This window comes from Homo sapiens, chromosome 6, assembly GCF_000001405.40.
Source record: "Homo sapiens chromosome 6, GRCh38.p14 Primary Assembly".
In the NCBI taxonomy this organism is placed as follows: Eukaryota; Metazoa; Chordata; class Mammalia; order Primates; family Hominidae; genus Homo; species Homo sapiens.
This window is the reverse complement of record NC_000006.12, coordinates 89080625-89093857: the sequence shown is the minus strand read 5'-3', so window position 1 is coordinate 89093857 and position 13233 is coordinate 89080625. Positions and strand designations below refer to the sequence as shown.

At 43.1% G+C, this 13233-nt stretch overlaps 1 protein-coding gene and 1 pseudogene across 2 annotated transcripts, besides 6 other annotated features; both read right to left on the bottom strand.

Moving 5' to 3' along the window:
• Window positions 2616-2912, bottom strand: RN7SL336P (RNA, 7SL, cytoplasmic 336, pseudogene; annotated as a pseudogene).
• Window positions 8297-8823: an enhancer, noted in NCBI's record as "OCT4-NANOG-H3K27ac hESC enhancer chr6:89794754-89795280 (GRCh37/hg19 assembly coordinates)". NCBI's record gives its function as "activates a minimal SCP1, AML or CMV promoter by ChIP-STARR-seq in naive H9 embryonic stem cells {active_cell/tissue: H9 hESC(naive)}" and the evidence as "EXISTENCE:reporter gene assay evidence [ECO:0000049][PMID:30033119]".
• PNRC1 (proline rich nuclear receptor coactivator 1) lies at window positions 8698-13107 on the bottom strand. 2 transcript variants are annotated; one of them, NM_006813.3, is made up of 2 exons: window positions 12424-13107; window positions 8698-10105 (listed from the first exon to the last, which is right to left on the bottom strand). In NM_006813.3, the coding sequence occupies exons 1-2, from the start codon at window positions 12961-12963 to the stop codon at window positions 9662-9664; spliced, it is 984 nt and encodes a 327-aa protein (NP_006804.1). In that variant the 5' UTR covers window positions 12964-13107; the 3' UTR covers window positions 8698-9661. The 2 variants fall into 2 exon arrangements, with proteins under 2 accessions (NP_006804.1, XP_047274062.1); XM_047418106.1 differs by lacking the exon at window positions 8698-10105 and adding an exon at window positions 11123-11307.
• Window positions 8824-9351: an enhancer, noted in NCBI's record as "OCT4-NANOG-H3K27ac hESC enhancer chr6:89794226-89794753 (GRCh37/hg19 assembly coordinates)". NCBI's record gives its function as "activates a minimal SCP1, AML or CMV promoter by ChIP-STARR-seq in naive H9 embryonic stem cells {active_cell/tissue: H9 hESC(naive)}" and the evidence as "EXISTENCE:reporter gene assay evidence [ECO:0000049][PMID:30033119]".
• Window positions 11434-12394: an enhancer, noted in NCBI's record as "NANOG-H3K27ac-H3K4me1 hESC enhancer chr6:89791183-89792143 (GRCh37/hg19 assembly coordinates)". NCBI's record gives its function as "activates a minimal SCP1, AML or CMV promoter by ChIP-STARR-seq in naive H9 embryonic stem cells {active_cell/tissue: H9 hESC(naive)}" and the evidence as "EXISTENCE:reporter gene assay evidence [ECO:0000049][PMID:30033119]".
• Window positions 11434-12682: a biological region, named in NCBI's record as "NANOG-H3K27ac-H3K4me1 hESC enhancer GRCh37_chr6:89791183-89792143".
• Window positions 12303-12682: a silencer, noted in NCBI's record as "silent region_17384". NCBI's record gives its function as "represses an Ori minimal core promoter by ATAC-STARR-seq in GM12878 lymphoblastoid cells {active_cell/tissue: GM12878}" and the evidence as "EXISTENCE:reporter gene assay evidence [ECO:0000049][PMID:35858748]".
• Window positions 13073-13222: a silencer, noted in NCBI's record as "silent region_17383". NCBI's record gives its function as "represses an Ori minimal core promoter by ATAC-STARR-seq in GM12878 lymphoblastoid cells {active_cell/tissue: GM12878}" and the evidence as "EXISTENCE:reporter gene assay evidence [ECO:0000049][PMID:35858748]".

Genomic DNA, 13233 nt, shown 5'->3' with positions numbered 1-13233 from the left:
GGGTCAGTCTCTTCACATGAGAGACTGCCTAGCCAGTAGTTAATATTTAGTCCTATAACTACATTGCTTGCATGTTCATTACTGTTTGGTTTTTGTGTGCAAAAGCTTGTGTAAGGTGAGTAGTTCCTCAGAAAATGTGTAATTGAAGCGAGAAGCAAAATTACTTCTCTAGGAGTAAAATTCTATTAACCAAATGCATAAGTACTACATGCTTTTTAGAAATTTACTTCTTAGAGGTAGATGGAGGGACACGATCCAGAATTCTTAGTATTTGCTTGTGACCACCTGTTTTTGTTTACACGATCCAGAATTCTTAGTATTTGCTTGTGACCACCTGTTTTGTTTTTACAGAAATGTAGCTTATAAGACTGATCACCTGTTATCTAAAGAAACAACTATGGCCAGGCACGGTGGCTCAGGCCTGTAATCCTAGCACTTTGGGAGGCTGAGGTGGGAGGATCACTTGAACTCAGGGGTTCGAGACCAGCCTGGGCAACATAGTGAGACCTCATCTCTATTAAAAAAATAATAATAAAAATTTAAAAAAAAACAAAAACTACATTCCAGTTTTCTTAGCTTACTCCTAATAGTATGGACTTAAAATGCTGTTAAATTGACTTTAATGTCAACAAAAATCTCAATATAAAATAGCCTTCTAAGCCCCAACTGATACCCTGTTTCTTTTAATAATAAGAAAACATCAACGGACTTTTGTGGGTTGGGGGAATTACACTTGTGAGGCAGTATCAGATTCATAGTAACAATTTTACTCTGTTAAATATCTTTTCAGAATTGATATAAGCTATTAACTTGTCAGACTCTTCTAAGCAATCTTATATCTTTAAAATAAGAAGGGGCCAGGGATGGTGGCTCACACCTGTAATCCTAGCACTTTGGGAGGTTGAGGCCACAGGATCACTTGAGCCCAGGAGTTCAAGACTGGCCTGGGCAACATGTTAAGACCCTGTCTCTGCAACAAATTGTTAAAAATTAGCGGAGTGTGGTGGAGCGGGCCTGTAGTCCTCCTACTCAGGAGGCTGACGTGAGAGGATCACTTGAGCCCAGGAGGTCGAGGCTGCAGTGAGCGGTGTTTGCACGACTGCACTCCAGTCTAGGTGACAGAGCGAGACCTTGGCTCAAAAAAAAAAGTGTTACTCAAATTTATCTTAACACTGTGAAGTATTTATATAATTTTTGTTTTTTTTAGATCGAGTTTCACTCTGTCGCCAGGTTGGAGTGCAGTAGTGCAATCTCGGCTCACTGCAACCTCCGCCTCCCGAGGTTCAAGCTATTCTCCTGCCTCAGCCTCCCGAGTAGCTGGAACTACAGGCGTGTGCCACACGCCTAGCTAATTTTTGTATTTTTAGTAGAGACCAGGTTTCACCATATTGACCAGGATGGTCTCGATCTCTTGACCTCGTGATCCGCCCACCTCGGCCTCCCAAAGTGTTGGGATTACAGGCGTGAGCCACCACACCTGGCTAGTATTTATATAATTTCATAAGACTATTAGGAAAAACATCTTTAAACATTGTTGTCAGTAAACCTTAAAATTTTGGCCTTAAAGTGTTAAATGTAGCTGAATTTAAAATACTAATATTCTAGTTAGAATGTTCATTACAGTTTTTTTTTTTTTTTTTTTTTTTTTTTTGAGACAGAGTCTTGCTCTGTCGCCCAGGCTGGAGTGCAGTGGCGCGATCTCCGCTCACTGCAAGCTCCGCCTCCCAGGTTCACGCCATTCTCCTGCCTCAGCCTCTCGAGTAGCTGGGACTACAGGCGCCCACCACCACGCTTGGCTAATTTTTTCTATTTTTAGTAGAGACGGGGTTTCACTGTGTTAGCTAGGATGGTCTCGATCTGCTGACCTCGTGATCCACCCGCCTCGGCCTCCCAAAGTGCTGGGATTACAGGCGTGAGCCACCGTGCCCGGCCCATTACAGTTTTTAATGGATATAGTCATAGATCATTTAATGACAGGATACATTCTGAGAAACACATTGTTAGGCGATTCTGTTGTGCAAACATAGAGTGTACTTACACAAATCTAGAATGGTATGTATATTTTTATTTACATATATTTTTTCATATAGAAATTCAAATGTCCCAGCACCATTACTGAATACCAGTAATGGCGATGTTTCTGGGACTTGATCTGCAGTACCACATTAAGTGCCATGTATCAGGTTTCTATATATGCTCCATTATAATCTTCTTAAAAACATGGATGAAAATTTTATATTCTAAAGTACAAATAGTCCTTTATATACAAAGCTCTGAGCTGCCTATCAGTGGTCAAATGTAACTGATACTCATTTGGGCTTTTGTGACCACACCTTGTCCACCCTTTATTTTGACCAAAAGATTGTAGTTTCAGTGTCTATCATAGAAAGTGGAACTACATCACTTAAGGAATAATTTCATACAATGCTTTTAGCATCTCATTTACTCCACTGGTGTTAACTCAGCATTAAAGGCTTTAAAAGGCAGGAAACAGTGAAATGTTAAGAGTTGCACACTGCCTTACACTCTACTCCCTAGTCACTTCAGTGCTAAGTAGCCCTCAGTCAGCCCCTTTCTTTTCTGGGGACATGCATCTTTTTTTTTTTTCTTTTTTAAGAGACAGGGTCTTGTTATGTTGCCCAGACTGGAGTGCAGTGGCTATTCGCAGGCATGATCCCACTACTGATCAGCGCAGGAGTTTTGACCTGCTTGTTTCCAATCTGGGCCAGTTCACCCCTCATTAGTAAATCTGGTGGTCCCCCTTCCTGGGAGGTCACCATACTGATGCTGAACTTAGTGTGGACCCCCAACTGGCATAGCACAGTACAGCCCAGAACTCTTGGACTCAAGCCATCCTCCTGCCGCAGCTTCCCAAGTAGTTGGGACTACAGGCACGCGCCACCGTACCTGGCGACATTCTTCATAAACACATTTCCTTTTGCTGCTTGCAGTTTGTTATTCCACTTTCATTTCTTTAACTCTCTTCTCAAACCACGGACAGTTATAAATCCCTTTCAGAATCTTTGTAGAAATAGTCTCACTACGTTGCCAGGTCTCAAATGCCTGGCCTCAAGTGATCCTACTGCCTCGGCCTCCCAAAGTGCTGGGATTACAGGCGTGAGCACCAAACCAAGCCCTTTTCAGAATCTTTATAATCCCAATTTACCTCTTTATCCTTCTCTAATTATTCTTCAAGTATTAACATTTATGTTAATGTTAACATTAACATAACAGATAACATTAACATTAAATGTTATCTGTCACATTTCCTAAATAAGCCAGTGCTTAAATATGTTATTGTTTCTCTAATCTTTCAGCTCTTATTTACAATGGCCTTGGTGTTTCTGTCATTAACTAGAGTTCTGTTTTTTTAGATGTTATAACCAACTAGCCAACCTACTTGAAAATGCAGAGGAAAACATTCAGAAGGTTCAAAGTTTACAACCTCATAAGATCAGCTTATTTGTGCTGTATGCTACATATAAGTGAGCTTTTAGAATTATTAGTAAAAAAAAAAAAAAAAAAGCAAATATTCAAATTATATATAATGTTGGAGTGAACCAGTAAAGCAGCCTTAATTTTCCCTAACTCTATTTTCTTTAACACTTTATTATAAAAATCTTCAGTATAAAAAAATGTTAAATGTAGCTGAATTTTAAAGTGGAACATCCATATACCCACTACCTAGATTCTACAGTTAGCAGTTAATTACACCTGCTTTGCCACATATATTTCCATCTATCCCCCAAGTATTTTGAATTTAACAAAGTATTTCAAAAAAAACCTGGAATATTCATACATGAGGTATTCTAATTAGCTAAAGTACAGCCAGAAAACCTTGGTTGAATACCTTTCATAAACAATTCTGTTTTCTTATTTTTGAAATTCAGGATCTGGTCTCAGGCATCACATGATTACAGGAACTTAAGAAATAGACCTGGATGGTTAAGGAGACTGGACTGAATGAACAGTGACTCTAAGAGCCTTGAAAGTCTGGTAGAAAAGGGACATTTCCAGTCTTTGATAGTAATCCTTTCTAAAATTTGAGAGCATTAAATGCCTAGTCATTTGAAGAGTAAGGTTAATTTTGCTCAACTTTGGAAGGGATTGTTGAAAGCCCTTGTTTTATAGTTAGAAAATCCCCTCAAATTGTAACTTATCCAAAGGTTTGATGGGACCAAAAAGCCCTCTGATTCCATGTTGTCAAGTAAAGTGAAATAATAAAGATCTTGTATTTAAAAATCTTACTGTTAGTAGGCAATTGTGAGTTCAATTTAAATCAAACATTTGCAATTGGAAATAACCAAAAATCATCAAAATGGCTACAAAAAGGAAGAAATCACTTAAAAACCCTGAAAACAAAAAGGGAAAACGTTTTCGGCTGGGCTTGGTGGCTCACTCCTGTAATACCAACACTTTGCGAGGCCGAGGCCAGTGGATCACTTGAGCTCAGGAGTTTGAGACCAGCCTGGACAACACAGTGAAACCACATGTCCACGTCCCTGTAGTCCCAACTACTCAGGAGGCTGAGGTGGGAACATCACTTGAAACCAGGAGGCAGAGGTTGCAATGAACTGTGATCGCACCACTCATTGCACTCCAACCTGCATGACAGAGCAAAACCCTGTCTCAAATAGAAAAGGCCCAGTGGGGTGGCTTATGCCTGTAATCCCAGCACCTTGGGAGGCTGAGACAGGCAGATCACTTGAGGCCAGGAGTTCGAGACCAGCCTGGCCAACATGGCGAAACCCTGTGTTTACTAAAACTATCAAAGTTAGCCAAACAGGGCGGCGTGCACCTGTAGTCCCAGCTACTTGGGAAGCTGAGGCAGAATCACTTGAACCCAGGAGGTGGAGGTTGCAGTGAGCCAAGATTGCACCACTGCACTCCAGCTTGGATGACAGAGTGAGACTCTGTCTCCAAAAAAAGAAAACATTTCTACTTGCCATCCCTTGCCCAAGATCCTAAAATGCCAAGATGCCAAGAACACATTTGTAATTTGCATTTGACAATGTCAGATTAACAAACTCTAATCTTGGAATAAGAGAACTATCTGTAATAATTTAGTAGGAGCAGCCATGTATATATAACCAGCTTTGGAGGAGTGTGATTATCATCTAGTGTCTTTACAACCAGACATAACACATATTTTTCTGAATGCTAATTGTATTAGACTAAGAAAAATTACTTAACTTTCCTGAATCTTTTCTTCCACATTCATAAAAATATTGTGTGAATAACTAGAGAAATGAGGTATTTTTATCATTGTTTAATGTCATTTTGTCTTTTAAAGTATTGTTAAATGTTCAAGATTATCTGACCTCTTCTAATTAAATGCAGCTTGAATAGAACATGTAGCCTCCTTTGATAAATGTGTATCTGACTTTCATAAATTTTGTAGGTTGCTTCTATCAATTGTCCCACTTTGTCCCTTTTTACCATTACTAAATTCAGAAACTATGATTAATGCCACATAATCTATGATAAGCTATTCCTTTAATGAGGGAATTTAAAATTTGTGTAGCCAGTTCTACACTAAGCCCACATTATTATAAACCCTGCTCTAGAAAATGAATTCTAAAATCTCAACAGTGGACCCTCACTAAATGCAACACCTTTTATACATCTTAAATTGTTATTGAATTTGGTATTTTTATAATTCAAGTTAACAAAACAAGTAGTTCCTGAATTACATTATTTGTGTTTACACAATTCTGTCTCCTACACCATCTCATCTCACAACACAGGCATACTTTCTTTCCCCATTTGAAAACTTATGCAACAGTTTCCGGGAGATTTCTAGATTCAGAAGGAAAGAAGTACAACAATGAGAAAACAACTTGGAGGAGTTAGCTCAGGGATCAGACTCAGCAAGGCAATTCTGTGATTTTAAAATGTATTTAGTTTAGCAATGTCCTTCAAAAATTTAAATATAGGAGTATGATGGGACTATCAGCCTTTCATACCCAAGGATACATATACTTGATTCCTTCAACCTGAAGCAGATATTGATTGCATATAAATTGCCTTCCACCCACGAAAACAAAGGATAGTTTATCCAGCAATAAGATGAGGAGGGTTATTAGGAGATGAGAGAGCTGCAAGAAGAGATAAAGAGTTACAAAAGATCAGTTTCACCCAATTTCAAATTGTAGAAAAGGGAAGGAAACTTTATTCCTCCTTTGCACCAACTGGGCCCCTGCTATCAGAATTCAGAATTTAAATTAGAACTGTCTGCTAACACAGACTTTTACAGGTACGGAAAAAAAAACAACCTCTATATAAGTTTCATGAGGAAATTATAATTCAACTACTATCACAGTGAAGTTGACAGTCCATAGGAGGCAGAGAGGATGAGGTCAAGACTACTGGTAAAGCATTATTATTATTATTATTTTTAGACAGGGAGTCTCACTCCGTTGCCCAGGCTGGAGTGCAGTGGCATTATCTCGGCTCACTGCAACCTCTGCCTCCCGGGCTCAAGCGGTCCTCCTGCCTCGGCCTCCCAAGTAGCTCGGAACACAGGCATGTGCCACCACACCCGGCTAATTTTTGCATTTTTAGTAAAGACGGGGTTCCCTATGTCACCCAGGCTGGTCTCGAACTCCTGGACTCAAGTGATCTGCCCCCCTAGGCCTCCCAAAGTGCTGGGATTACAGGCATGAGCCACCGTGCCTGGCCTAAAAGCATTAAATCTTATGAGACAAAAAGAAAAGGATAGAGATAAAATATTCCACTCTCATTTCCCTGTTGTAATTACTGCTTTGTGCACTATTTACCAAAGCCATACCTCTGGATCTGACCTATTTTCTATCTACTTGCTGTGCCTTTCCACATGGATGTCCTAGAGGCACCCCAAAGTTCAACATGCCAAATCAAAATGACCTTCCTTTATAATTCTGATCCCCCTGCAATCCCCTAATTGGTAGATTTATCCTTCAAGTTGCTCAATTTCAAGTCTTTTCCTTACCCTCTATTCAGATGCTCAATCCTCAATTCTAGCTCTAAAACATTCCCCCAAATAAGCCCATACCTCTGATAATGCCCTCTAGGCCCTTTTCTCTTTTGAGCTACTGAAATATCCTCACCTAAGTAATCTGTTTCAAGCTTTCCCTTATCAAGCTGTCCTCCATATTTCTACGTTTTCTTTTTGAAGCAAGAATTCCATTCCCTTACTCATAAACCTTTGAGAACTGCCATGCTTACAAAATAAAGTTGAAGCTCTTCCGCGTGACACTGAAGGCCCTTCGTGTTCTTACCCCAATATACCTTTTAAAAACTTCCCTTCCTTTCTTGCATTTCTCTTAAGCTACTGGACATTGTACATTTTTTTTTTTTTTTTTTTTTTTTTTTTTTTTTGACATGCAGTATCACTCATCGCTCAGGCTGGAGTGCAGTGGTACAATCTTGGCTCAATGCAACCTCCGCTTCCTGGGTTCAAGCGATTCACCTGCCTCAGCCTCCCAAGTAGCTGGAATTACAGGCACCCACCATCACACCCAGCTAATTTTTTGTATTTTTAGTAGAGACAGGGTTTCGCCATGTTGGGCAGGCTGGTTTCGAACTCCTGACCTCAGGTGATCCACCAGCCTCAGCCTCCCAAAGTGCTGGGATTCAGCGTTGTGCATCTTTTTACACCACCATCTGCTCAAACTTTTACCTCACAATTTTTTTCCTTTTTTGTGTGTCAAATACTTATCTTTTAAGGCTCAACTCAATTTTTTTTTTCATTTTTTTGAGATGGAGTCCTGCTCTGTCACCCAGGCTGGAATGCAGTGGCGCGATCTCGACTTACTGTAACCTCCGCCTCCCGAGTTCAAGCAATTTTCTGCCTCAGCCTCCTGAGTAGCTGGGATTACAGGTGCCTGCCACCAAGCCCGACTAATTTTTTTCTATTTTTAGTAGAGACAAGGTTTTACCATCTTGGCCAGGATAGTCTTGAACTCCTGACCTCGTGATCCATCCGCCTCAGCCTCCGTAGGTGCTGGGATTACAGGCGTGAGCCACCATGCCCAGCTCAACTCACTGTTACTTTCTAAGGTGTCAGATTCCCAAAGAGAAAATTTTCTCACCAAAATTAGTCCCTTCACCCTAAGAGACTTTACCTTTTTCTCTCTTCAGGCATTTGTTGTTGTAGAGTGGGGAATATAGCTTGTATTTTAGTTATATTTGTCTTTTCTCCCCATCCCACCTAAACTTTCAGCTCTGCCATTTATCCTTCTATTTCCTGAACATACGTTACACATAAGCCCTCACACATTAAACTGCAGACATACTGCTCAAAATGACAAGAGCTGAGAAATGTTGGACAAGGAAAGAAGGGTGGTTGAGGCGGTAGGACTTATATTACATTGTGTAGGAATTTTTATAACCATGTGCAAAAATGTGTTGTTAAAACCTGTTAATGTGTCCCTTTCTAGAATCACAAACTGATTTGGGAGAGATGTCAGAACTCACTGTAGTCAGTCATTAGTATTAATATTTACAACACATTACTAACAAAAGCTAAAATTGGTGACTAAAAATTGGGGGCATCTTCAAACTAAACTTCTAAATGAGCTTCCCTTCCATTTGTGAGGAAGGTGTATCTGCATTTGTAAGGAAGGAATGGTGACTCACACAAAACATCAAACAGAAGTTCCTTTGTATATTCGATCTTCTTTACTTGACCTGATTGCTTAACATTCCCACTCAAAATCTGTCTCCCTTACTTTCTCTTGGCCTTTTTTTTGAGACAGCGTCTGTTACCCAGGCTGGAGTGCAGTGGCCTGATCCTAGCTCAATTGCAATCTCCACTTCTCAGGCTCAAGAGATGCTCCCGTCTCAGCCTCTAGAGTAGTCAAGTACTATGCTCAAAAACCTCAATGCTGCTCCTGGTAAGAAAATGTAGATTATGGCCAGGCATGGCGGCTCACACTCAGCCAGTAAAGTAGAAGTCAAAAAAATCCAACCACACAAAATCATCTCCTAGTCACACATTCAAACATGAGAAACAGTCACACACAAAGAGTCAAGACTATTTTAAAAGGGGGGGCCAAATTATTATTATTTTAAAATTTGATTACAACCAATTTTGTTGGCATTAAAATTAGAGGCATTAAGCTGGAATGGATATATACCAAAACCAGAAATTGAGTTTAGCAAAAATGGGAATAGGAGTTGTTCAGTAATTTCAGATTACAAATCAATTTAGAGAAACAAACCCCATGCTTACATTGATTGTGCCACAGATTTAAACTTCAGTAGTGCATTAGTAAACTGTTCACATTTAGATCTTCACCTTGAGATTTGACAGCTGTTTCTTGAAAAAAATCTCAGTACCTTGTGCAAATAAAATCGGTCTTCCATGTGCCTTAGCACACACTTAAAATTTATCCATTGTATATATACAAAACACCTGCAATGTGGGCAGGGCAAAATACATACTTTCATAACAAAACTATAATATACCTCTCAAGTATGAACAATATACACATAATACATGGTATACAGTATTTACAAAATATAAAATATAATACAAGCTGTTTGTATGTAATTTTTTAAACTCATCTTTTGCAATTGTATGTTGCAACAAGGCAAATTTCCATTTCTGTACCAATTTTCTCAAGAGTCCAGGGATATGGGAAAAATTATGTTTTACACACATACTGAAATCTGAAATCTAAGTTTGAACTTTGAGGAGCGTTTTTAAGTGTACTGCCATCAGCTCCCTGTTTTGGTTGGAATTTTCAACAGTGCTTCCCATCCAGTGACTAGGAGGCTTTGGAAGAACACTAGGAGAAGGTGGATCACTAAACTTTGCCCCAGCATAATTTTCCTTTTGGCTCACTTCAGTTAGAAATGCTGATTTCTTCAAATGCGAATTTTTAATGTTCTCGGTATTTTTAAAAGGCTTTTTTTCCTGCTTCTGAATTCTGTCAGATGAAACAGAATCCTGCCAAAAGTTGTTTTCATTTCTTTTTGCAGAGGTGATCTTGGTTAGTGGCAAGTTATATTTGCTTTTCTGTCTGTTTATCTTTGGTTGCTCATACAAGTGTATACCATGAACAAGCTGGCCATGGGGAAGGGCAATTTTCTCCGATTTTCCCATCTTTGATTTTAAAACCTACAAAGACAAGAACACAAAAGTAAATATAGTTTCTAGATAAAAATCAGTTATGAACCTCATATCACATATCTAGTTTTGTTGTGTTTAAGTTTGCCCACAGCCATAGAAAAGAACAAAATTATGTTCTTTGTGACAACACGTATGTAGCTGGGGGCCATTACCCTAGACGAATTAATGCAGAAACAGAAAACCAAATATCGCAAGTTCTCACTTACAAGTGAATTTGGGAGCTAAACACTGGGTACAACATGGATATAGTGGGGAACAACAACAGACACTAGGCACTACTAGAAGGGGGGTTGAGAGAGAGATGGGGACCTACTGGGTACTATGCTCACTACCTGGAATGGGATCATTCATACTCCAAACCTCAGCATCACGAAATATACCCATGTAGCAAACCTGCACAAGTACCTCCTTGATCTAAAATAAAAGCTGAAAATTACAAAAACTTTAATTGGGCATGGTGGCTCACGCCTGTAATCCCAGCACTTTGGGAGGTCAAGGCAAGCAGATCGCTCAAGCTCAAGGAGTTCGAGACCAGCCTGGGCAACATAGCGAAACCCCATGTCTACTACAAATATAAAAATCAGCCCGGCGTGGTAACACGCGCCTCGGGAGGCTGGCTGAGGCGGGATCCCTTCAGCCTGGGAAGGGGAGGATGCAGTGAGCAGAGATCGATCGTGCCACTGCATTCCAGCCTGGAGTGCGATAGAGGCAGACTCTGTCTCAAGAAAAAAAAAACAACAAAAAACTTAAATTTCCCTTGACTTTTAAGTTCACTCTTGTTCGCCACTAAAAATGCAGTTAATCACCACTGCTAGTTACCAGTATGCAACGTGAACCAGTTCTAAAATGTCAAACTAAAAAAAGTCTGAAATAACCCAAGTCCACCTTTCTACAACTGTAAGGAAGACTAATGAGCTCTCTTCCAAATACGAGTGCCAGAAACAATCTTTGCTGTGTACCTCCTTTCTGGTTTAGTAACTGCTTCAAGAACGCTGCTTCACTCACCTTAATCTTTCCCAACTTAAGTGGGCCTTATAGGAAGTCTTGAAAGGATGGAAAAGCGTAAGGTAATCCACTAGATCACTGCACTACCAACACTTGTAACGCGGTAGTAAGCAAGACACGACACGAAAGAGGACCACAACTTTCCACGTCAATAAGGTTCACTGCCAGAGCTCCCTAGTTAGTACCTGTTCTAGAAAACAGGCCAGGAAACAAGCACAAAAGCTTTTAGGTAATCACGGATATTTCAAAAGTCGTGGAATTTTAAAAGGGAGACATTGAGACGATAATTTAAAGAAACAAGGTGGGCAAATTTTTTCCCAAGGGCACAGATAAACCGCAAATCTCTAATTCAATGCAACATTCTTCACTAAATAACGGGAACTTTTTCATTTCATTATTACGAAGATTAAGTCATTGAACTTAAGTCCATAAAACGTTATTCTGACAAGACTTTGAAATCATTTCGTAGACTTAATCCTATTTAAACTTCTATCCATTTTATCCTAATGCAATAGCACTGCAATCAGACGGGCTAAGTCAATTCAATTGCTAACTCTTCTGAAAACTTACTCTGGACACACTAACACGAAGTACCACAGTGGCAAAAGTAATAAAATCAGTTTTGTGCGGCTCCTGCCAACTCTTAACTTGGAACCACTAAGTAGGTCAGGCCCGAGGCGGGCAGAGCCCCAACTGGACTGCGCGTCCCACACCGGGCACCTCACATTTTGGCACAACTCCAACCAAACGAAACCCAGCCGCTCGGAGCCCACTCCACCCCCTACGGCGGGACGTTAGAGGCCGTCTCCGCGTTTCACCGACTAGGACTGGGGCTCCCGATAGCCGGGAGGCCGAAAGCCGGGCCCAGTCCTTCCCCAGCTGCCCCCACCCGGCCTCGCCTCCTTCATGGGCGCCGGAGCGCCGGGCACGTAGCGCGCGCTGACGTCAGCCCTCCCGCGGGCCCTGTCCCTGCCCCCACCCCGCCGCGCGCCCGGAACGCCGAAACCCCCTGGAACGCCGCCAGCCTTCTAAATCGGGGCTGTTGCTGGGGCGCAGCGGCGCTTCTCATTGGCCGACTCCTGGGAGCCAATCAGAAGCGCCAGCGCATGCCTCCCCTTCCCCCTTCTTCCCCCAAAGCAAGAATGGAGCGGGCGTCACGGAAACTTCCCTCCCGAGTAAACAGCCGCCCCCCCCACCCCGCCCCCACCCGCCCGACCCCCCGGGTGCAGGGTCTGCAGCCCCAGAGCTCGGCCGCGACCGTCTAAGGGCCCGACTCCCCAACGGCCCCCTGGCGGCCTCACCTCTTTCCTGAGGGGGGTTTGGCCGGGAGCCGCGGGCCGCAGCGGGGCAAGGTCGGGGCTGGCTCCCTCCGTGCCGGCTGCGGCTGCAGGACTCGGGGCCAAGGCGGCGGCCGGGCCCGGGACCTCCTGCGCTCCGCTCGGGCCGGTCGCGGGGCTCCGGCCGCCCTCCAGACTCGGCCGGTGCTGCTGGTACTGGTGGAAGCGGCTGGGCAGCTGCCCTGCGGGGCTGGCCCGCACCTTCTTCTTTCGCCGCTTCTTCGGCGCTGCCCGAGGAGTGCCTCCCGCCACGGCGAGGCTGCGGTTGGGCAGAGCTGCTGGAGCGCGAGGCTGGGGGGTCAGACACGGGCCATCTCCCCCTAGGAAATGAGGGAGGAAGAGGGTCGGGGGCAGTGCCCGGGGGTCCGGGATCCGGGGTAAAGGAGGCGGAGCCGTGGTCACCATCGGGAGGGCCCCAAAGTAACCTCGGGAGGAAAAGCCAAGCGGCGCAAGGCGGCCACCCAGGACGAGCGGCTCCCGCTGCGGGACGGAGACGACAGTCATAGCGCTAGGAAGCTTGTCGCTCAGCAACGAAGAGAGAAGGAGAAGGTGAATGAAGCCAGTGAAGATAGGGTGGCGGCGATGGATGCTGCTAGGAGAGCCTGAGAAGATCGCGGAACATGACTCGGGCGGTGGCGGCGCAGCAACAAATAGCCACAGCCCCAGCTCCGAGTGTTGTTATCGGAAGCTCCGCCCCGCGCCCGCCCACTTTCCTGCGAAAGCCCAATTAGAGTGCGACAAGGCAGGCCACGCCCCCTCGCTCCGCCTCCGCAG

What these genes read in the sequence shown, in the direction of transcription:
- PNRC1 (NM_006813.3), bottom strand. Translation starts at nt 12,963, where the DNA reads ATGACTGTCGTCTCCGTCCCGCAGCGGGAGCCGCTCGTCCTGGGTGGC. An exon ending in AAACCCCCCTCAGGAAAGAG is followed by an intron (nt 10,106 to 12,423) that starts GTGAGGCCGCCA and finishes TTGTCTTTGTAG; the next exon opens with GTTTTAAAATCAAAGATGGG.